Below are 24,152 nucleotides of genomic sequence, written 5' to 3' on the forward strand. Positions count from 1 at the left end.
CTTGGGGCATGGTGGACCGTTACACGGTGCACATTGTAGGTTGTTCCTAGGAGTTTCTGAGATTAGGCATCAGGAAGAAGGGATGACTTGTCCTGAGGCTCAAGCCCTAATTCTAGCTCCTGTCCCCAGCTGGATCCTTTGCCAGAGCCAATCATCTCATCCACCACTTCTTAAGAGGCCTCATCTATCCTATGGCAATTACTAACACCTGGTTGTAGATGACATGCTAATCCTACCCGGGCCCTTCCCCTGAGCTGCAGACCTTTACCTGTTCACCTTCCGGACAGCTCTTTCCAGATGACCCTGGGAATGTGAACCCAGCACAGCCAGATGAAATCATCACCTTCTCCTGCCTGCCCTTCCTAATGGTCCCCATTTGAGTGAATGGCACCCTCTGAAAGCCTTTCTTTTCAAATCCTTTCCTCTCTCAAGCATATAAATAACAACTTGGTGACTGCATCCTGTCTTTCCTTCTGATGGTTCCCTTGCTCCACCCCCACACCACTGCCTTGGTTCAGGCCTCGTGCCTCCTCCCAGATGGTTACCTGCCTTTAGTGTTGCTCTGCCCAGCTCCATACTATAGCTGGAGTGGTGGTTGCAGAGGACACAGGCTCTGAACCTGTGATGTGCTGTCACCCATGGCAAGTCCCTTAACCTTTCTGTGTCTCCTCCTCCCTGTAAGTGAAATGAAGATAACAGAACCTTCCTGGTAGGGTTTGTGTGAATTATATGATGTGATATAGCATGTGGATAAAGCATGTGGAAATGGATTTGGTTCATAATAGACACTCAATAACTATTAGCCAATGCAAGCAGACCAGAACAGATGATGCCTATTCTGCTCAAAGTCTTCTGGTGGCTCCCCATTGCCTCTGGAATTGAATCCAGGCTCCTTATAGGCCTTTGAATTTGGCTCCGACCATCTCTCTAGCATCATATCCTGATATCCTGGAGCTTATCCCTTACCCCATCTCTACCTCTTGTCTTACCCCAATATTTTTTCTACTTTATTTTTGTGTGTATTTATGGTGTATGACATGATGTTTTGAAATATCTATAAATTGCGGCATTTCCCTACTTTTATTTCCATCCATATGGATAGAAACTTGGGTTTCCAGGATGCAGCACAAGGAGCGGGGATCCAATGTCTTAGTTCAATCTGCTATAACAGAATACTATAGACTGGGTGGCTTGAACAATAGGAATTTATTTCTTATAGGTTTGAAGTCTGTAAGGCTGAGACCAGGGTGCCAGCATGGTTGGGTTCTGATGAGGGCCCTCTTCCTGGTTTACATGTGGCTGAGTTCTCATGGTGTCCTCACATGGTAGATAGAGAGCACAGAGAGGAAGCAAGCCCTCTTACATCTCTCCTTATGTGGGCACTAATCCCATCATGGGGGCTCTACCCTCAACACCTAAACACTTCCCAAAGGACCCATCCCCAAATATCATCACATTGGTTTCAACATATGAATTTTGGGGAATACAAACATTCCGTTCATAGCACCAAGGCTAAGCCCAGGAGAGTTCTTGAACTGAGGAGATGGACTGAGTCTGGGAGAGCAGGGCAGATAGAATACTGGAGAGGAGACAGCTGCACAGAGAGAACTCTGGAGAGCTTCAGAGGGCCCCACTCAAGAACTCAGTGCAGAACTCATCAGGGCCTGCATGTGAGAAAATTACTTGGGGCCAGGGAAAGTCCATTCAAAAAGGTTAGAGGTAACAGTGCCTAGTGTTCACACAGGGCTGAGAACACACTCTAGCTGTTTCTACCAGAAAGATTTGAAACCTCATGGTTCTTAAGGCATGGAGTATGGAACTAAGATAGGTCTTGCCTCACTAGTGGAAATAATGAGCACAGAACCTGCCTAACAAATTTTAAAAGCAAAAGCAGAAAGGATTTTAAAAGCAAAAGCAGAAAGGATCTCTGTTTCCAAGTAACTTAACTGCATTACAGAAACATAGTTTAAGAATATGTATAGGAATACAAAAATATCCAGCACCCCAAAAGGTAGATCTATAAAATCTGGCATCCAATAAGAAGTTATCAGGCATGCCAAGAATCAGAAATATGTTATCCACAATGAGGAGAAAAATTAATCATTTGACATCAATCCAGAACAGCAACAAATATTAGAATGGGCAGATTAAGACATTTAACTTGTTATTTTAACTGTATTCCATATGATAATAAGTAGAGATATGGGAGATACTTAAAAAGGCCAAAGTCAAACTTTTAGAGATTAAAACTATAATGGTTGAAGTGAAAAATACATTGGATGGGATTAATGGCAGATTAAACATTGTAGAATACAAAATTATTGAACTTGAAGACATAGTAATAGAAACTATAAAAATGAACACACAGAAGAAAAAATAGAAAGAAATGAATATAGCATTAGTGAACTATGGGACAATTTCAGGTGGCTTTATATACATGTAATTGGAGTCACCAGAAGAAAAGACAGGCAGAGTAGTGGGTGGGGCAGAAAAATATTTTAAGGAATAATGGTCACAAAATGTCCAAATTTGATTAAGACTATAAACTCACATCCAAGAACCTCAATAAATCCCAAGAACAAGAAACATAAAGAACACCACACCAAGGTACATGACAATCGAATTGCTAAAAATCAATGATAAAGAGAGAATCTTAAAAGCAACTACAGAGAAAGATGTTACTATACAGAGAACAAAGTTAAGGATGGCAGTAGACTTGCCAGAAACAGTGCAAACAAGGGGACAATAGAGAAACATCATTAAAATACTGAAAGATGAATACTGTCTACTAGAATTCTATACTTAACAGACATGTCTTTCAAAATCAAAGGTTAAAAAAATTCATTGCCAACAGACCCATATGCTAAGAAATGTTAGAAGAAGTCTTCTGGACAGAAGGAAAATGATATCAAGTGAAAATCAGTATCTACACGAAAGAATAAAGAGCACTAGAAATAGTAACTACATATGTAAATATATGACATTTTCTTATCACTTAAACCTTAAAGATAATGTTTGTGTAATTAAAAATAATAACAATGTACTGCAGGGTTTGTAACATATACAAAAGGAAAATGTATAATAACATGAACACAAAAGTTGGGTGGGGATAAATGGAACTACGCTATCGTAAGTTTCCCATACCATACTTAAAATGGCATCATATCACTTGTAAGTGGACTATAACAGGTTAAATATATATATACATATATAAAAAATAAACTAATGAAATGATTAACAAAACAAAAAGTGATGGTTTATAAACCAACAAAGGAGATAAAATCATAAAACATACTTGCTTAAACCAAATGAAGGCAGAAAAAGAGCAAAAAATAAAAAAATGGGACAAATGGAAAACAAATAGTAAGATGACAGATTTAAACTTGGCCATAGTAATAATCACATTAAATGTAAATGGTCTAAACACCCCAATTTAAAACATTTCAGACTGAATAAAAAACATGGCCTAATTACACACTGTCCACAAAAAACACACCTTAAAAATAAAATACACAAGTAGATTAAAAATAAAAGGATGGAAAAAGATATAGCATGCTAACATTAATTAAATGAAAACTTATGTGTCTATATTAAATTTCAGAGCCAAAAAAATTATGAGGGGTAAAGAAGATGATTTTGTAATGGGAAAAGGATCAATTCATCAAGAGAACATAATAATCCTAAAATTTTATGAATCTAATAAGAGTCTTAAAATACTTGAAGCAAAAACTGAGGTAATTTCATGGAAAAAATAGACAAATCCACAATCTTAGATGTTTCAATTCTCACTTCTCAATAACTGATAGAAAAATTAAGAAAATCAATAAAGATACAGAAGTTTTGAACACCATGAGCCAATTTCACTAAATTCACATTTAGTGAATTACTTTTGTGAGTGCAAAAGTAATTGTGGTTTTTGCATTGTTGGAATTTGCTCTTTGATATTGGAATACATTCTTAAATAAATGTGTTATGTTATACATCACTTTAATGGGCATTTCTCATTTTTTTTTCTAATGACTTATTACTTGCTGTTTATTCTGTTTATTTTATGTTTATTTTAGACTATGGAAATGATGTTAGACAAAAAGCAAATTCAAGCGATTTTCTTATTTGACTTCAAAATGGGTCGTAAAGCAGGGGAGACAACTCGCAACATCAATAATACATTTGGCCCAGGAACTGCTAACAAACGGGCAGTGCAGTGGTGGATCAAGAAGTTTTGCAAAGGAGACAAGAGCCTTGAAGATGAGGAGTGTAGTGGCTTGCCATCGGAAGTTGACAATGACCAATTGAGAGCAATCATCAAAGCTGATCCTCTTACAACTACACAAGAAGTTGCCAAAGAACTCAATGTCGACCGTTCTATGGTCGTTTGGCATTTGAAGCAAATTGGAAAGGTGAAAAAGCTCGATAAGCTCATGAACTGAGCAAAAATAAAAAAAAAATCATTTTCAACTATCATCTTCTCTTATTCTATGCAATAACAATGAACCATTTCTCGATCGGATTGTGATGTGTGATTAAAAGTGGATTTTACATGACAACCGGCAATAACCAGCTCAGTGGTTGGACTGAGAAGAAGCTCCAAAGCACTTCCAAAAGCCAAACTTGCACCAAAAAAGTCATGGTCACTGTTTGGTGGTCTGCTGCCAGTCTGATCCACAACAGCTTTCCGAATCCCAGCAAAACCATTACATCTGAGAAGAATGCTCAGCGAATCGGTGAGATGCACTAAAAACGGCAATACCTACAGCCAACATTTGTCAGCAGAAAGGGCCCAACTCTTCTCCATGACAACATCCGACCACTTGTTACACAAACAACACTTCAAAAGTTGAATAAATTGGGCTACAGAGTTTTGCCTCACCTGCCATATTCACCTGACCTCTTGCCAATTGATTACCACTTTTTCAAGCATCTCGACAATTTTTTGCAGGGAAAAGGCTTCCACAACCAGCAGGATGCAGAAAATGCTTTCCGTGAGTTCGTTTCAATCCTGAAGCAAGGATTTTTTACGCTACAGGAATAAACAAACTTATTTCTCATTGACAAAAATGTGTTGCTTGTAATGGTTCCTATTTTGACTAACAAAGATATGTTTCATGTGGCTTTCATACCAGGGATGCAGGGATGGTTTAACATCTGTGATGGTTAATATTGAGTGTCAACTTGATTGGATTGAAGGATGCAAAGTATTGTTCCTGGGTGCGCCCTGAGGGTGTTGCCAAAGGAGATTAACATCTGAGTCAGTGGACTGGGAGAGGCAGACTTACCCTCAATTTGGGTGAGCATCATCTAATCAGATGCCAGTGCAGCTAGGATAAAAACAGGCAGAGGAATATGGAAGGACTAGACTGGCTGAGTCTTCTGGCCTACATCTTTCTCCCACGCTGGATGCTTCCTGCCCACTAATATCAGACTCCAAGTTCTTCAGCTTTGGGACTCTTGGACCTTCAATCACAGACTGAAGGCTACACTGTTAGTTTCCCTACTTTTGAGGTTTTGGGACTCGAACTAGCTTCCTTGCTCCTCACCTTGCAGACGGCCTATTGTGGGACCTTACCTTGTGATTGTGTGAGCCAATCAATACTCCTTAATAAACTCCCCTTTATATATACATCTATCCTACTTTTCTGCTCCTCTAGAGAACCCCGACTGATACAACACCCACAAGTCAATAAATGTGATACACCACATAAACAGAATTAAAAACAAAAAAATCACATGATCATCTCAATAGATGCAGAAAAAATATTTGACAAAATCTAGCACCACTTTATGATTGAAACCCTTGGCAAATTCAGCATAGAAGAGACATACCTTAAGGTAATAAGAGCCATCTATGACAAACTCACGGCTAAATGAGGAACATTATACTAAATGAGGAAAAGTTGAAAGCACTCCCCCGAGAACTGGAAGAAGACAAGGATGTTCACTTTTTCCACTTCCATTCAACATAGTAATGGAAGTCCTAGCCACAGCAATCAGAGAGGAGAGAAAAATAAAAGACATCCAAATTGATAAAGAGGAAGTCAAACTGTTGCTGTTTGCTGATGATATGATCGTATACCTGGAAAAACTCTAAAGACTCATCAAAAAGCTCCTAGAACTAGTAAATGAATTCAGCAAAGTTTCAGGTTACAAAATTAATGTACACAAATCAGGAACTCTGCTATATTCCAACTGTGACCAAGCCGAGAATCAAATCAAGAACTCAACCCCTTTCACAATAGTTACAAAAAATAATACTTAGGAATATACTTAACCAAGGACATGAAAGACTTCTACAAGACAAACCACAAAACATTGCTGAAAGAAATCATAGATGACACAAACAAATGGAAACACATCTCATGCTCATGGATGGGTAGAATCAATATTGTGAAAATGACCGTACTGCCAAAAGCAATCTACAAATTCCATGCAGTTCCCATCAAAATACCATCATCATTCTTCACAGAATTAGAAAAAAACAATCCTAATATTCATATGGAACCAAAAAAGAGCCCACATAACCAAAGCAAGACTAAGCAAAAAGAACAAATCTGGAGGCGTCACATTACCCGACTTCAAACTATACTATAAGGCCATAGTCACCAAAACAGCATGGTACTATTATAAAAATAGGCACATAGACTAATGGAACAGAATACAGAACCCAGAAAAAAAGCCAAATGATCTTTGACAAAGCAAACAAAAACATAAAGTGGGGAAAGGACACCTTATGCAACAAATGGTGCTGGGATAATTGGCAAGCCACATGTAGAAGAATGAAATTGGATCCTCATCTCTCATCTTATACAAAAATCAACTCGAGATGGATTAAGGGCTTAAATCTAAGACCTGAAACCATAAAGATTTTAGAAGATAGTATCAGGAAAACTCTTCTAGACATTGGCTTAGGCAAAGACTTCATGACCAATAACCCAAAAGCAAATGTGACAAAAACAAAGATAAATAGATGGGGCTTAATTAAATTAAAAAGCTTCTTCACAGCAAAAGGAATAATCAGCAGAGTCAACAGACAACCCACAGAGTGGGAGAAAATCTCCACAATCTATACATCAGGCAAAGGACTAATATTCAGAATCTACAATGAACTCAAACAAATCAGCAAGAAAAAAAAAACAAACAATTGCATCAAAAAGTGGGCTAAGGACATGAATAGACAATTCTCAAAAGAAGATAAACAAATGGCCCCAACAAGCATATGGAAAAATGCTCAGCATCACTAATTATAATGGAAGTGCAAGTCAAAACCACAATGTGATATCACCTTACCCCTGCAAGAATGGCCATAATAAAAAAAATCAAAGTAATGGATGTTGGCATGGATGCAGTGAAAAGGGAACACTTTTACACTGTTGGTGGGAATGTAAACTAGTACAGCCACTATGAAAAACTGTTTGGAGATTCCTTAAAGAACTAAAAGTAGATCCACCATTTGATCCAGCCATCCCACTACTGGGTATCTACCCAGAGGGAAAGAAGTCATTATACCAAAAAGAAACTTGTACACACATGTTTATAGCAGCAAAATTCGCAATTGCAAAAATGTGGAACCAACTCAAATGCCCATCAGTCAACAAGTGGATAAAGAAACTGTGGTATATACATACAATGGAATACTACTTAGCCATAAAAAGGAATGAATTAATGGCATTCACAGCAACCTGGGTGGAATTGGAGACTATTATTTTAAGTGAAGTAACTCAGGAATGGAAAACCAAACATTGTATGTTCTCACTTATATGTGGGAGCTAAGCTATGAGGACACAAAGGCGTAAGAATGATACATTGGACTTTGGGGACTCAGGGGAAAGGGTCGGGGGTGGTGAGGGATAAAAGACTGCACATTGGGTACAGTGTACACTGCTTGGGTGATGGATGCACCAAAATCTCAGAAATCACCACTAAAGAGCTTATTAATGTAACCAAACACCACCGGTTCCCCCCCTCCAAAACCTATTGAATTAAAAAATTAAAAGTAAAAAAAACGTGTTTGAACCTAGTTATAATGATTTAAAATTCATGGGCCAAAACTGCAATTACTTTTGCACCAACCTAGTGCAACTCCACCCAGTGAGAGCAGAATATACATTCTCTTCAAACACACCATGAGGTCTTCCTGCAACCTTCCCTGATCCAACATGGCTTCGTGGCTGTGCAGCATCTCTGCAGTGTCACAGTGGCTACTGGAAGGCCCAGGCCTGTGCTGGGGATGTTGCAGCTGCGGCTGTGCTGCATTTCTATCCCAAGGACAACGAAGGCTACTGGTTCTGCTCCCTCTTTGTTCACAAAGTGGATCCCTGGAAGGATGCCCACTCTGCCCTGCTGTCCAAGAAGGAGACCAGCAACCTCTACAAGATCCAGTTTCACAGTGAGAAGCCTGAGTGCCCGGATGCCTATAGTAGGCACTGATGGAGGCAGCACTGTCCATACTGCACTAGGATGAGGACTACCCTGCTCCCTCATGGGCAAGTGGAACACGTGCTGTAGGGAGCAGGACCAGGCACTGCACCTGTGGAGGTTCTCAGGTGGCTACTCAGCCCTCGCGGACTGCATGACAAGGAGTACCTGGAGGTCCGGAAGGAGTGCAGCTGGATGCTGTTGTCCAGGAGACACCAATTGCTCCTTGAGTTCAGCTTCTGGAATGAGCCATAGCCCAGCGTGGACCCCAACATCTTATGAGCTGAGGACATGCAAGCTGAAGCCAGGAACCATGATGGAGTAGGGGAACAATTGGGGTCCTGCCAGCAGGTACCAGCAGCAAGTCCCAGCAGGAGAACCAGGAGGTGATCGTGGCTCCTCCCAAATAGGAGAGCTCCACCTTGTGCATCATCTCTGGTCCTATAAAGACCCACAGTCTTGGGAGGAGACCCGAAGTGCTGCCTGCAGGAAGAGGGCTTGGGATGAAATGTCTATTGTACAGTTCCCCTCGGGCAACACGTGGAGTCTTGGATCCTCTTGAGGATCCTCTTGAGGTCCTCTTGAAGACCTCACCTCTCCAGTCATGCTCCCAACACTTCTACCTTCTTCCCTTTCTCCCTCAGGGCAACCCTGGACAGAGGAGCACCCCAGTCCTACTGTCATGGTTTTCTCTTGGCTCTGGGAGGACTCTGAGGGTCCATGCTTAGCTCAGACAACGGGGAACTGAAGGATGACAAATTCTGAGGACTTAGAGCTCAGCTCAGCTCCTTCCTGCCTTCCCCTCCTCCCTCCTTCCCCCTGCTGGAAGTAGTTCCTAATTTCTCTGAATGAAACATAGCAATCTTCTAGGTCTGCTGACATCTTTTCCTAAGATTTCTCAGTCCCCAGCTATCACCACAGAAATCCTCGGTTTAGCTTAATTGCACAAAAGGAAGTATGTCCAGTGGTTAGAGGTGGGATGGGAGGGAAGGAGGTCAGGTCAGGCCAAGCCAGGTCCTCAGGAATTCCCTGATCTCCACTGAGCCACTGCCACCCACTTGCTGTTTAGTCTAAACCAAGTCCCTCCTGATGGGGAAAATCCTGGAACTGCTAAAAAAAACCCCTCAAATCGGCAAGGTCAGGAGGATGTCCAGACATTCCATCCAAAAAGACAGGGAAAAAGGATGGGACCCAGGAAGGATTTAGGGGCAGGAGACAGACATGTAACAGAATCCAGAAGGTACAACTTAGAATTCAGAACTTGAGTTTGAACTGCAGAATTTGGAATTTGGAATACAGAATTGGAAGATAGAACAGAGGTGACAGGCTGGGCGCGGTGGCTCATGCCTGTAATCTCAGCACTTTGGGAGGCTGAGGTGGGCAGATCATGAGGTCAGAAGTTCAAGACAAGCCTGGCCAACATAGTGAAACACTGGCTTTACTAAAAATACAAAAATTAGCCTGGCATGGTGGCATGTGCCTGTAATCCCAGCTACTCAGGAGGCTGAGCCAGGAGAATTGCTTGAACCCGGGAGGCGGAGGCTGTGGTGAGCCGAGATCTTGCAGTGAGCCGAGATCATGGCACTGGACTCCAGCTTGGGTGACAGAGCGAGACTTGGTCTCAAAAAAAAAAAAAAAAAAAAAAAAAGAAACAGTTGGAATAGAAGAAGTCTGGGGCATATCATTTAGATGCTAAAAAAAAAAAAAAAACAACATTTCCAGGACATTTTAAAGGTATTTGGAATCAGGGCTGTTGCTCCCGGTGGAGTAGGTTCCCAGGGAGACTGGGACACAGAAAAGAAGGGACTTGGAGTCCCGTCTGCTGGGCACTCAGCTCAAAGCTCACACCCCTGACGGACTCTGCTTGACGTTTACATGTTACCCTTCTCAAACGGGGCTTCTGTGCCTCCTGGAAATTTAGGTAAGCTTGGTTCAACCCTCCCAAGTTACAGCCTGCGAAAGCTGAGGGTCTTCCTCATGATCCTGGACAATTCCTGATGGCCTAATTCTTCAGTCTGTTCTTTTCGGCATTAGAGGGTGCAGCCTCCTGCCATCTTGGATAAAAAACCCAGTCTGCAGTGGTTTCACTAAGGGTGCTCCCAACAGATGATTCATGGGTGTGGGGGACTTGCTCAAGATTTGAGGGGTCTCGCCAGGCTCCCCAGAATCTTCATCCATTTCACTGTTCCTCTTCCCCTTCCTCTCTCTTTTCCTCTCTTTTTCAGGGTCACCAGCCCTCTTCCCACCATCTAAAGCTCATATGAGCTTACTGTGTGGACCCACTCAGAAGCCCAGAGTTGGAATAAAGATTATTTTAAACTGAAGACATTTGAGGTTCAACAGACGCAGAGAAAAGCCTCCTCAGAGCTTCCCTTATCTGACTAAAAGCAGCAACTTCTGGTAAATGAAGCTACCATAGATCCCTTCTCCGGGGGAGTTTCATGGCCCTGAGGAAGATGGAAAGACCACCTTTATTTGTATGGAAAGACATCACCACACTCTTCAAAAAATGTCCTGTTATCCTGAAAAAAATGTATTTCCTAAAGAAGCCCATCTGTATTTCCCATAGGAGCCTTTTCTCCCTCCTCCCTTTCCCCTACTAGGTTAGGTATTTAAGCCCCAAATTCTAATCACGACTTTGAGTTACTCATCACTGAACACTCAGGCTTGCGTAAGTAAACTCTTCTCTTCTCTTGCGAATGTGTCTTTTGTCAGTTTAATTTACAGAGCTCCAATCACCAAACCTAAAAAGATAGAGAAAAAGTTTACCTCTCCTATATTATTTATCTTCTGCCTCCTCCTCTAAAGTCTCAGCTTCTAACCCAGGTAAGATTATCTAGGAATCGTCCCCAGAAAGGCGTGTTTCCTAAGCCTACCGGTAATTATGAGAGAAGAAAAATTTTCCTTCTAGCTGCACAGGTATTACATGGATGGGGTCAGGATAAACCCACATTACTCAAAGAAATATTTGCATTTTTAGGCCAACCACTATCCACAGAATCTCTGGGCTTAACTATTCCTTAGGGAGAGCACAAGAAGGAAATTGCAAAGCTTTTGTCAAAATATTTGGCCACCAAAAAATTCCTGCTTGCTTCACAGAGACAGATGCGTGAATGCCACAGCACTATCTGTTCTGTGTTTTATGATCCTCCCCAAAATAACAGTCTCTGTTGGATTTGCGCTGGTGATTTGAGAATAAGAAACTTTAAAAACAACTAGACAACCAGTTCAAGAGAGCAGATAATGTATATTCAGCAGCCTCCCCCTCCTGCCCTAACTTCTGAGAGTGACAGAAATAATTATTGTAACAAGTTCTCATTACCATGCTGGGAAGGAAGGAGAGAGGCAGTTGATGGACAGTAATTATAAGAAGCTCCTTAGATGAAGCAAGGAAACTGCAGTCAAAAATCATCTGTAGGAGAGGAAGGATGCAAAAGATGGGCAAGGGGGCAAGGGCATGGCAGGCCTGGAGATTGTGATGCCAGGATGAGATGGGACCCTGATGCTCCTGATCGAGCCACAGATGGGAGATGCCGCCCCTTTATCAGGTAGCAAACAACGAAATGTCTTGTTTTAAGAAGTAGCAAGTTCGGGCACGGTGGCTCACGCCTGTAATCCTAGCACTTTGGGAGGCCGAGGTGGGCAGATCACGAGGTCAGGAGATCGAGACCATCCTGGCTAACACGGCGAAACCCTGTCTTTAGTAGAAATCCAAAAAAGTTAGCCAGGCATGGTGGCAGGTGCCTGCAGTCCCAGCTACTCAGGAGGCTGAGGCAGGTGAATCACTTGAACCTGGGAGGTGGAGGTTGCAGTGAGCCAAGATCGCACCACTGCACTCCAGCCTGGGTGACAGAGCAAGGCTCTGTCTCAAAAAAAAAAAAAAAAAAAAAAAAAAAGAGGGAGCAATAAGTGTGGTTTTTTGGGTCAGAGAGGCAGACTAGGATCTGGGGTGGCTGACAACTCCCAGCAAAACCAGACAGCCCATGTGCCCAGAAGGTTAGTTAATGCCCCTCTCTCCTACATGTCTCACATCTCTGCCATAATCAAGAGAGAGGCTGAGGTATCTGCCTGGGTAGCACATTCAACCCCTTCCTATATTCAGGCTAGTGTACATCAGTGTAACTTCTCCAGCCTGGCGCACAGAGACTTTTACAAACAAAGATGAGCTTACAAACAACGATGAGCATACACCCAGAAGCCAACAACACTTGAGGGAAGCCAGCACCGTGAAAGGGACATCAAAGTCAACACATGAACTTATATCTGAGAACAAAATTAAAAACGCAAGTGGAGCAGGGCCTTGAGTACATGTAGTTATTATCCCTAGAAAGAGATGAGAAGGGAATAGTATGTAGCTATAAAAAGAATGAGTTCATGTTCTTTGCAGGGACATGGATAAAGCTGGAACCCATCATTCTCAGCAAACTAACAGAGGAACAGAAAACCAAACACTGCGTGTTCTCACTCATAAGTGGGAGTTGAACAACGAGAACACATTGGACACAGGGAGGGAAATATCACACACCAGGGCCTGTTGGTGGGTGGGGGGCAAGGGGAGGGAGAGCATTAGGTCAAATACCTAATGCATGCAGGGCTTAAAACCTAGGTGACGGGTTGTTAGGTGCGGCAAACCACCATAGCACAGTATAGCTATGTAACAAACCTGCATGTTCTGCCCAAGTATCCCAGAACTTAAAGTGAAAGGAAAAAAAAAAAAAAGAAGGAGATGAGAAGAGATTGCCCTAAGAATCAGTCTGCTACCCCCACGTTCATATCAGCATTATCCTCAATAGCAAAAAGGCAGAAGCAGCCCAAGTGTCCATTGATGGATGAGTGGATAAACCAAAATGCCATCTTCATCCAGGAGAATGTTACCAGAGAATGTTCAGCCTTAAAAAGGAAGAAAATCCTATCACATGGAGGAACCTGAAGAAGACATTATGCTATGTGAAATACGTCAGTCACAAAAGGACACATACTCTATGATTCTGTTCATGTAAGTGACCTAGAGTGGTCAAATTGATAGAAAGTTGAAAGGTGATTTCTAGAGCCCAGGGGGAGGGGAAAATGGAGAGTTGGTGTTTAATGAAAACAGTTTCAGTTTGAAAGGATGAAAAAGTTCTGGAGATGGATGGTGATGATGGTTGCAACCATGTGAACATACTCAATGCTACTGAACTGTACTTTTAAAATAATTAAGGTGGTGATTTTGTGTTATGTGTGTTTTATCATAATTAAAAAAATCAACTTGATATCTTGGAAATAAAAAATCACGATTGAAACTGACAAAATAGAAAGTTGAGCAGATTGGCCTCAGCTGAAGTGTAAATTAGTAACTTAGAAGACTGAACTGAGAACTTTAGAATGCAACACTGAACCAACCAAGAGAAACATAGGAAAAAAGACTGATGCACGTAGCATAAATTTAGAATTTCTAACATTCCTATAATAAAAACGTCAGAAGGATTCTAAAGGATTATTAGTATTACTTAGGAATAATAGGATGCAAAAAATGGTGGCTTAACAAGATAGAGATTACTTATCGACCAAAGAAAAGTACAGAGGAAAGGAGAGCTGGTGTATGGCTCTACAAGTATCATTGAGGACCCTGATTCCTGTCTTCCTGCTTTGCCAGCCCAGCACATGGGCTCTTGAAGCTCACCTAATGGCTGCAGGCAGGGAAAAAGAGAAAAGCCAGACCTGCCCAGTTAACTCAACTCCCTTTAAGCAGGCTTCCCAGAATTCTGCAAAACACTTTTGCTTAGATCTCATTGTCTAGAATTTAAACACGTGGCCACAGTTAGCTTCGAAGTAGACATTCTTCATGGCAATGTGTCCTGCTAAAATCAGTATTCTGTTTCTAAGAAGAAAGGAGAGAATAGCTATTGGGGAAGCCAGTGGTAGTAGCTATCCACTCCCCGCACCCCAAATACAGAGAATGAAGAGTGGGGACAAATGCAAAATAAGGATAGAAGTAAAAAAATCCCAGAATAGGAGAAAAATATGAGTTCTCAGACTGAAAAGCTCCACTGAGTACCAAAATGGGATGAATGCAAGACCATTGGACACATTGTAGTGAAATTTCACAATACCAAGGATCAAGAAAAATCCTAAAGACTTCCAAAGAGTAAAAAACAACCAACAATTCTCTATAAAGAAAAGAGAATCAGCCGGGCGCGGTGGCTCATGCCTGTAATCCCAGCACTTTGGGAGGCCGAGGCAGGCAGATCACTTGAGGTCAGAAGTTCGAGACCAGCCTGGCCAACATGGTGAAACCCCGTCTCTACTAAAAATACAAAAATTAACTGGGCATGGTGGTACATGCCTGTAATCCCAGCTACTTGGGAGGCTGAGGCAGGAAAATTGCTTGAATCCAGGAGGTGGAGGTTGCAGTGAGCCGAGATTGTGCCACTGCACTCTAGCCTGGGCGACAGAGTGAGACTCCGTCTCAAAAAAAAAAAAAAAAGAGAAAAGAGAATCAGACTGAGAAGATGTCTATCTTTTTATTATCAACAAGGGTTGCAAGGCAGAGAAGCAGTTTCTTCAAAGCTAAGAATGAATAAATCATTTGAACTTAGATTCTGTATTTAAGAACCTAGTATCCTTCTATTCAAGAGTAAAGGTGAAAAAATATTTAAAAATATACAAGGAACTGTATCACTGAAAGATTTACCGGAGTATGTCATCCAGGTTTTAGGATTGTCAAAACTGAGGGTGACTTCCTTCTCTGGGATAAGCTTGTTTTAATTCTTAAACAACAAAAATAGATGAAAGCTTTGGAAAACCAAGAGATAGAAATCAATCATTTGAGTTGTTGATTTTCTTTTTATTGAAGTTTCTTTTTCTTTTTCTTTTATTTAGGTTTCTTTTTTTTTTCTTCTTAATGAGAGTTCATTACATATTCTTGATAAACATCCTTCACTGGACACATGATTTACATATATTTTCTTTCAGTCTGTGGCTTGTCTTTACATGCTTTTTCAGTGTCTTTCAAAGAGTAGACATTTTTAGGTTTCATTAAATCCAATTTTTTTTTTCTTTTTCTTTTTTTTTTTGAGACGGAGTCTCGCTCTGTCGCCCAGGCTGGAGTGCAGTGGCGCGATCTCCGCTCACTGCAAGCTCCGCCTCCCGGGCTCACGCCATTCTCTTGCCTCAGCCTCCGGGGTAGCTGGGACTACAGGCTCCCACCACCACGCCCGGAGAATTTTTTTTTTTTTTTTTTGTATTTTTAGTGGAGACGGGGTTTCACCGTGTTAGCCAGGATGGTCTCCATCTCCTGACCTCGTGATCCACCCGCCTCAGCCTCCCAAAGTCCTGGGATTACAGGCGTGAGCCACCGCACCCAGCCATTAGATCCAATTTAACAATTTTTTCTTGTATAGGTTGTACTTTTGGGTTGTAGCTAAGAAATCTTCGCCTAACTCAACGATTTTCTCCTATTTCCTCTGTAAGTTTCACAGTTTCAGGTTTCATATTTATGTCTATGCTCCATTTTGAGTAAATTTGCATACATGGTGCAAGGTATGAATTGAAGTTTGCTATTTTTGCATATGGATATCCAATTGCTCCAGCACCATTTGCAGGAAAAATGATCCTTTCTCTAATATTAAGTAATAATCAGCTATCGCCACATTGTTTATCACCTTCGATGGTGAGATTTCTTTTGTCCCCAAACAAATATCCGAGAGGGTCCCAAGATGAAGACAGCTCATAGCCAAGTTTGCTGGGCAAGACTCAGTGTGGGTTCATAATGGGGAGTAGATCTCATCCTCCTTTTATGCTCCCTGGGGGACACACGATGGAAGTGATGATCTTATCACAGTTGTTCCTTTTCTCACCTGAGCATGGAGGGGCCAGTTCTGTGTATTCACTAACAGAGTCACTGAACAGCCAACAAGCATACTCTCTGGGCCCAGGCACAGATTCCTTATAAGAATTTTATAGATATTATGTTTCCTTCTCTTCTTGCTTTTATTTTCCTCTTCTTTTTTGCTTTTTGGCTTCTTGCTTTTTTTTCTTGATGGAATTTTCAGAACCTTGCAATGCTTTAAGTAACAATAGGTATAATTTATTAATTATGTCTTTTCCCAGGGAAATTGTCACAATGCTCACAAGTCCTCTGGGTTTTTAAAAATCAGGATTCCTCAATCATCTCCCAGAACTTGCAGAAAGAATCCAAGCGAAAGTCATTGAACTGTGAGAAGGAACGATGAGCACAGACAACACCCAGTTAAATACATTGCTTAATCGAAGGAGGTGGGGCTGGGCGCGGTGGCTCACACCTGTAATCCCAGCATTTTGGGAGGCTGAGGTGGGTGGATCACCTGAGGTCAGGAGTTTGAGACAAGCCCAGCCAACATGGTGAAACCCCGTCTCTACTAAAAATACAAAAATTAGCCGGAAGTGGTGGCACACGCCTGTAATCCCAGCTACTCAGGAGGCTGAGGCAGGAGAATTGCTTGAGCCTGGAACATGGAGGTTGCAGTGAGCCAAGATCATGCCACTGCACTCCAGCCTGGCTGACAGAGCGAGAGTCTGTCTCAGAAAAAAAAAAAAAATTCTAAGGAGGTGGTGGTGATGAATGTGACACAAGAAGGCAGAGGGAAATAAATGGGAGTTGGTTTTGGTCTTGTTTGGGCAAAGATTATAGATACTGACTTGAGATTGGATACTGTTAGCAAAACATAACATTGGCCTGGGCAAACATAGTGAGACCCTTATCTCCACAAAAAATTAAAAAAGTAATTGGCATGGTGGCACACTCCTGTAGTCTCAGCTATTCTGGAGGCTGAGGTAGGAGGATTGCTTGAGCCCAGGAGTTTGAGGCTCCAGTGAGCTGTAAAAAGAAGAAGAAATTAAAAAAAAAAAAAAAAAACAAGTCTAAGTAGAAGTGTTAAAAAGCTAAGACTAAACATTGGGCGAATGAATACAATATGTAAATTTCAAACTTAGAAGAAAAATGAAAGCAAGTTTGAGCAAATCAAACAAAGCCAGAAAGGGAAAAACAAGAACAGTGAGAAAGTATGAAAAACACAAAATCACTTGGCTGGTGTAAGTCCAAGTAACAATAATAATGTGTTAAATTTACTTATTAAAAGACAGAGACTCTAAGCTGAGTAAAAAACCCAATATCTGGATATATGTGATTTGTACAAGAAACTCTTAAAACAAAATGACAGAGGAATGTTGAAAATAAAGGGGTGAGTCTGAGCACGGTGGCTCATGCCTGTAATCTCAGCACTTTGGGAGGCTGAGGCAAGTGGATCACGAGGTCGGGAGTTCGAGACCAGCCTGGCCAACATGGTGAAACCCTGTCTCTACTAAAAGTACAAAAAATTAGCCATGTATGGTGGTGTGCGCCTATAATACCAGCTACTCGGGAGGCTGAGGCATGAGAATCTCTTGAACCCAGGAGGCTGAGGTTGCAGTGAGCAGAGACCACACGATTGCACTCCAGCCTGGGCAACAAAGAAAAAAGTTTTCTTTTTTTTGTCTTAAAAAAAAAAAAAGAAAACAAAGGGGTGAAAAATATAAACAAATATTAACAAACAAATCTAGAATAGCAATATTAACACCAAGCAGAATGGAATTTAGGGTGAAAAGCATTATAAAGGGCAAACTGAAACACTGTTTATAGGTAAAAAGAAATAATCCATCAAGTAATGATCACAGTTGTGAACCATTGTATGCCAACAGCATAGATATGGAAATATTAAAGCAAAACCAGATAGAAATACAAGGAGAAATGCCCAAAGCTGCAACCACACATAAAGTTAAAACAGAAATGAAAGGAAAAATAGACAAAGCCTTATTCTTCACTCATAAATTGGCTCATTAAATAGATGAAAATAATTAAGAAAAAAGATAATTTGAATAAAAATGTTTGATTTTGTAGTTTTGTGCCTAAGAGAGAATATAGCTTTCAACTACATTACTTGTAATTATGTTTTAGATTAAAAATCAGCTCAAGTTGGGCCACAAAGGAAATGACAGTACGTTCTAAAAGGCAGAAACAAGCCACTTTCATATGGTGAATTCAAACAGGCTATTTTCATATGCAAAATGCAATAGAATTAGATATTCATAACAAAAACATAACTGAAAAACCTTATTACTTGAAAGGTTTAGAAAATCCCATGTGTGTTTCTAACCACTCTTGGGTTACAGAAGAAATCAAAATGTATTAAAATTAAAATCTCTTTATATATTGATTTAAAAAAACATTAGGGAGCAAACTCTGTGTTATAGATAAAATGGTATTCGGAGGAAAATCTATAACCATAAATGCTTTTATAAAAATAAAAGAGAGCTTAAAATCAAGTGTCTTTCAGCCAAGAAGTCAGACACAAGCACAAAAGAAAACTCCATTCCCTATTTAAAAAGTCTCTTCGAACTAGATAGAGTAGAAAATGTGCTGCATTTGGTAATGGGTATTTACATGAGACCTAGGAAACGTCACACTGAATGTTTTTGAGGTGCTTAGCACATATGGAACATGATGCAGATACTGCCTATTGCCTCTCCTACTCAATGCTGGGGTTGAGCTCCTGGTCCAGGGGTCCTCAAAGCAGCTTGTCTATTGGGATCATGTGGGAGTCCTAAAATAATACCAATATGCCTGCATCCCATCTCAGTGCACCTGAGTCAGAATTCCTGGGGGTGGGGCTCAGGCACTGGTATGTTACAAAGCTCTCTGGGTGATAGGTTTAAAAACAATCCTCTAGCCTATGAAATGAGACAAAGAAAATAAGTGAAAGTCATAGATACCAGAAAGAGAAAAAACTATATGGTTATGTACCTAGAATATGGCAGAGAATCAACTGGAAAATTGGAAAAATCAATGAGAGTTCAGAAGATGATAGAATACAAACTCAATATAAAAAATCAATAGATTTCCTATAGGTTATCAGTAATAAATTAGAAAAGGTAATAAAAATTCCAAATTATAATGGAAATCGCAACCACAAAATATAAAATAGAAAAAAACTAAAAGAAACACAAAAGATCTTTATCAAGGTAATTATGTTTAACAAAAGATGTCAAAAACAACCTAAATAAATGGAGAGATTATACCATCTACATAGATAGGAACACTCAACTGTAAATAAGCCAATTTACTCTAAATTATCTATAACCCCAATAAAAATGTCACCAAAATTCCTCATGGAACTTCATAGGCAAATTCCAGAATTTATACGAAGGAACAGATGTGTAAGAACAAACAAGATAAATTTGAAAAAGGACATCAGTGATGTCTAGTATCTTCTCCTTTAGACCAGCGATCCCCAACCTTTTTGGCACCAGGGACCGGTTTCGTGGAAGACAATTTTTCCACGGACGGGGGTGGGGGAGATGGTTTTCGGATGAAAGCGTTCCACCTCCGATCATCAGGCATTAGCGAGATTCTCATAAGGAGCTCACAACTTAGATCCTTCCCATACACAGTTCACAATAGGGTTTGGGCGCCTGTCAGAATGTAATGCCCAGCTGATCTGACAGGAGGTGGAGCTCAGGTGGCAACGTGCACTAGTCTGCTGCTCACCTCCAGCTGTGTGGACTGGTTTCTAACAGGCCATGGACAGGTACTGGTTTGCAGCCTGGGGGTCAGGGACCCCTGCTTTAAACACCAAAATATATGGCATTAATAATCAAACAGTGTGGTATTGGTGCAGGAAAAAAAAATAGATAAATGAACCAGAACAGGGAAACCAGCAAAAGATCATACATGGGAATTCAATATATGATAAAGGAGGCATTTGAAATTAGCAGGGGTAGGATGGATATGTCAATTTAGACTAGTGGTAGCTGAACATGACAGAAAACTCAGACCAATGGCTTAAATAAGAGGAAGCCTTATTATTGATCCTTCGCATAGAGGAGAGCTGGAGGCTACCAGCCCTTAACAAGTATGGCAGCTCCATGACCACTAGGAACCCAAGTTCCATCTATTGTCTGCCCCATCATCCTTAGTGCAGTGATTTCATTTTCAAGGTTGCTTATGATTGAAGATGCTTTTGGAGCTCTGGCCATCACATCTACATTCCATTCAGGAAGAAGAAATAAAGCAGAGAAAAGCAAAAGCGCATGATTCTTTGCCTTCTCAGCCTTTCTGGGAGTTCTACTTAATGACTTGTGCTTGTGTGATATTGGCTACCCCTATCTGCATTGGAAGCAAAAAAAATTTTTTTTAGCTGGGTACATTGCTACCCCAAATACTAAAGATATTCTACCAGGAAAGAAAAAAGGCAAATGGATTTTGGGCAGGCAACTAGCAGACTGTCCAGTCTGTGTGATGTGCAGCAGGTTCTTCCTCAGGTCGCCTGCTGCTCCTCATGAACGAGTGACCTGTCAATTTCAACTCAATTGCTCTTCCCCACGAATACCCAGTGAACTGTGGTAGAGAAAAAAAAACATAGATATACCCAAAATATTGTACCACAAAAGGGGAGAAAGGGAATCACATAGAAGTTACTATTATATAGTAATTATGACGTCTCTGGGCAGAAATGGTAAAGATTCCCTATTTTGAGAGTGAGGTAAATTTTTTGGTTACCCAGCCTGGCAGTGCCTGGCTCTATACTTTAGGAAAGGGTTGCCAGATTAGGCAAATAAAAATACGGTCACCTAGTTAAATGTGAATTTCAGATAAGTAACAAATAACTGCTTTAGTATAGGGTGTTCCAAATATTGTATTATACACTAAAAAATGTGTATATACATACATACATACATACATACATACATACATACATACATACATACAATTCTGGAAGCATAGTTACCAAACTAAGGTCAGTGATATATTTGGGGAAAGAACTTGAAATAAAAAGTGATGGTCAAGGGAAGTTTGCTTTACTTTATCTGTGATGCTCAAAATTTGTATTTGTACACTGACAATTATTCTTGTTTACTTGTATTAGGAAGACATAAAAAGAATGTAAGAGGTTAACCAAGGTCTTGGTGCTGAGGCTACAGACCAATGAATGACATTATGGTCACATGGCCTCTGGAGTCAGGGTCAGTAGACCTGGTCTTCTGGCCACCACTGAGCAGCCGCACCTGCTCTCTGAGACTCTCCTTTCACATTGACAAAAAAAGAGGTGGGTGATGATACCCACTGAAGAGTTGTTGAGAAGATCCACAATGTAAACGTAAGACAATTTATGGACAAATGCTTTGTAAATCCTGTTGGAGCATACAAATTATGATATATAATTTATGATGTCTATTCCTATTATGTTGTATAATTTATTATATAGTCATATTGGAATGTGCCACTACATAATTATATAGTAATGTGTAGCATTTTGGAATATTGAGTATCAAATGTAGGCATGAAAGCAGAAGTGCCCCATCTAGGGTAGAAGATAAAGAAACATTAACCAACTTAATTCATGTGAGAGTGCCAAGTAAGTGCTTGGTAATTAAAAGTCTACTCTCAAAGTGACAAACTTGAATTTCTTTTTTTTTTCCTAAAAGAAAAAAAAGGGATACAGGTGCAGAACGTGCAGGTTTGTTACATAGGTATACGTGTGCCCTGGTACACCTATTGATCCGTCCTCTAAGTTCCCTCCCCTCACTCCCCACCCCCCAACAGGCTGTGGTGTGTGATGTTCCCCTCCCTGTGTCCATGTGTTCTCAATGTTCAACTCCCACTTATGAGTGAGAACATATGGTGTTTGGTTTCCTGTTCCTGTGTTAGTTTGCTGAGGATAATGGCTTCCAGCTTCATCCATGTCCCTGTAAAGGATGTGATCTCATTGTTTTTTATGGCTGCATAGTATTCCGTGGTGTATATGTACCATATTTTCTTTATCCAGTGTATCATTGATGGGCTTTTGGGTTGGTTCCATGTCTTTGCTATTGTAAATAGTGCTGCAATACACATATGTGTGTATGTGTCTTTATAGTAGAATGATTTATATTCCTCTGGGTATATATCCAATAATGGGATTGCTGGGTCAAATGGTATTTCTGATTCTAGATCCTTGAGGAATCGCCATACTGCCTTCCACAATAGTTGAACTAATTTACATTCCCACCAACAGTGTAAAAGCATTCCTATTTCTCCATAGCCTCTCCAGCATCTATTGTTTCCTGACTTTAATAATCGCCATTCTGACTGGTGTGAGATGGTATCTCATTATGGTTTTGATTTGCATTTTTCTGATGATCAGTGATGTTGAGCTTTTTTCCATGCGTTTGTTGGCTGCGTAAATGTCTTCTTTTGAGAAGTGTCTGTTCATATCCTTTGCCCTCAAAGTAACAAAGTTGAGTTTCAAACACAGGTCCCCAAATTCTAAGTCCTGGACTCTTTCCATGGGCCCTCTTAAAAGTTTTACATAGTCCCATTGCTTTTTCATTCTAATTATTATTCATGCATGTGCACTGAGTTATTTCTTTAGCTTCTATTTTTCTTTATCACTGATGCCATTATTTAAGCACTGGAATTTCCCAGATTGCCAGTACATGGTCATTTATTTAGTGTGACACAAAGCTATTGATTAGTGAGATTGGACCTAGGACCAACCCAGGTCTCTGTAGTAAGAAGGGTAGAGTAGTTATTTTATGGAGTTGTCCCAGCATATGGGAAAAATGTAAACTTTTACGTTAAAAAGTTTAATACATTCTTTGCATTAATATTATTACTATGAAGTTGATATTTAAGAAATTATCTGGAAATAATATGGATTCTATGAGCTTTTAGGGTCTATCATGAAAGAAAGGTAGGGATCAAAGTCTGTGGTTGGTGGGTAGGCTGGAAACTGGTGCACGTGGTGAGTATAAGAGCAGGGAGCCTGGCAGAGCTTAAAATAGACTTACTAGCCAAATGTCAGCATGCATGAGCTAAGGCCTGTGCACAGAGAATTAAACCATGTGTCTGGTAACAAGGAACTTCTGTGCTGAAAATTTATTAATCAATATTTACTCAACTTTAAAAATTGCTATTGTCTCACTCTTAGTATTCACACCAGAGCAATACAGTAAATTAAATGCATCTTCAATTATTCAAAGCTGCTTCTGAAGAATTACTACACCTAAATATTGTGTTTTAATGAACCGTACTTAATTTTTGCACGGTCAAGTGACTGTCTGTGTTACATCTTCCTCCCAGGGGTCTGAGACAGTCTGTCTGGTGCTGCAGGAGACACATGGTTTCAAATGTCATCCTGAAACCCCCCATACGCCCATCCTTCTGCTTTCCTGCTAAGCCAGGCTGAGTAATATTCTTTTTATTTACTGCATAAGGTTCTAGAAGGTGAGCTGGAAAGGGGAGGAAGATGCTGCCATTAGTTACCAAATTGGCAGATCTTTACCTAGAAGAGATGAAATAAAAGTCTGGAAACGGTGACATCTAGTCTGTGCTCTCAGGCTGCAGAGAGGGGAAGAAACAACAGAATCATACCCTCTCCAGGAATTTAAGTCCCTAAACATGGACATCCAAGTCTAGGAATGGGAAGAAAGTTAGGAAGAAAAAAATGGCACAGTTCAAAGTCAGCACACTTTTTTTTTCTTTTCTTTCTTTTTTTTTTTTTTTTTTGAGACAGAGTCTTGCTCTTGTCGCCCAGGCTGGAGTGTAGTGGCATGATCCCCACTCACTGCAACCTCCGCCTCCCAGTTTTAAGCAATTCTCCTGCCTCAGCCTCCCAAGTAGCTGGGATTACAGGCACGTGCCACCATGCCTTGCTAATTTTTGTGTTTTTAGTAGAGACAGCGTTTTGCCACGTTGGCCAGGCTGG

General features: G+C 40.6%; 1 pseudogene, besides 1 other annotated feature; it reads left to right on the forward strand.

Annotated features, from left to right (window-relative positions):
* Positions 8,125–9,737, forward strand: LOC100128284 (nipsnap homolog 1 (C. elegans) pseudogene; annotated as a pseudogene).
* Positions 10,439–11,638: an enhancer, noted in NCBI's record as "MED14-independent group 3 enhancer chr17:5635830-5637029 (GRCh37/hg19 assembly coordinates)". NCBI's record gives its function as "activates an origin of replication core promoter dependent on BRD2, BRD4, P300/CBP and CDK7 cofactors, and independent of MED14, by STARR-seq in HCT116 cells {active_cell/tissue: HCT116}" and the evidence as "EXISTENCE:reporter gene assay evidence [ECO:0000049][PMID:35650434]".

Source organism: Homo sapiens, chromosome 17 (assembly GCF_000001405.40).
Source record: "Homo sapiens chromosome 17, GRCh38.p14 Primary Assembly".
Classification (NCBI taxonomy): domain Eukaryota; kingdom Metazoa; phylum Chordata; class Mammalia; order Primates; family Hominidae; genus Homo; species Homo sapiens.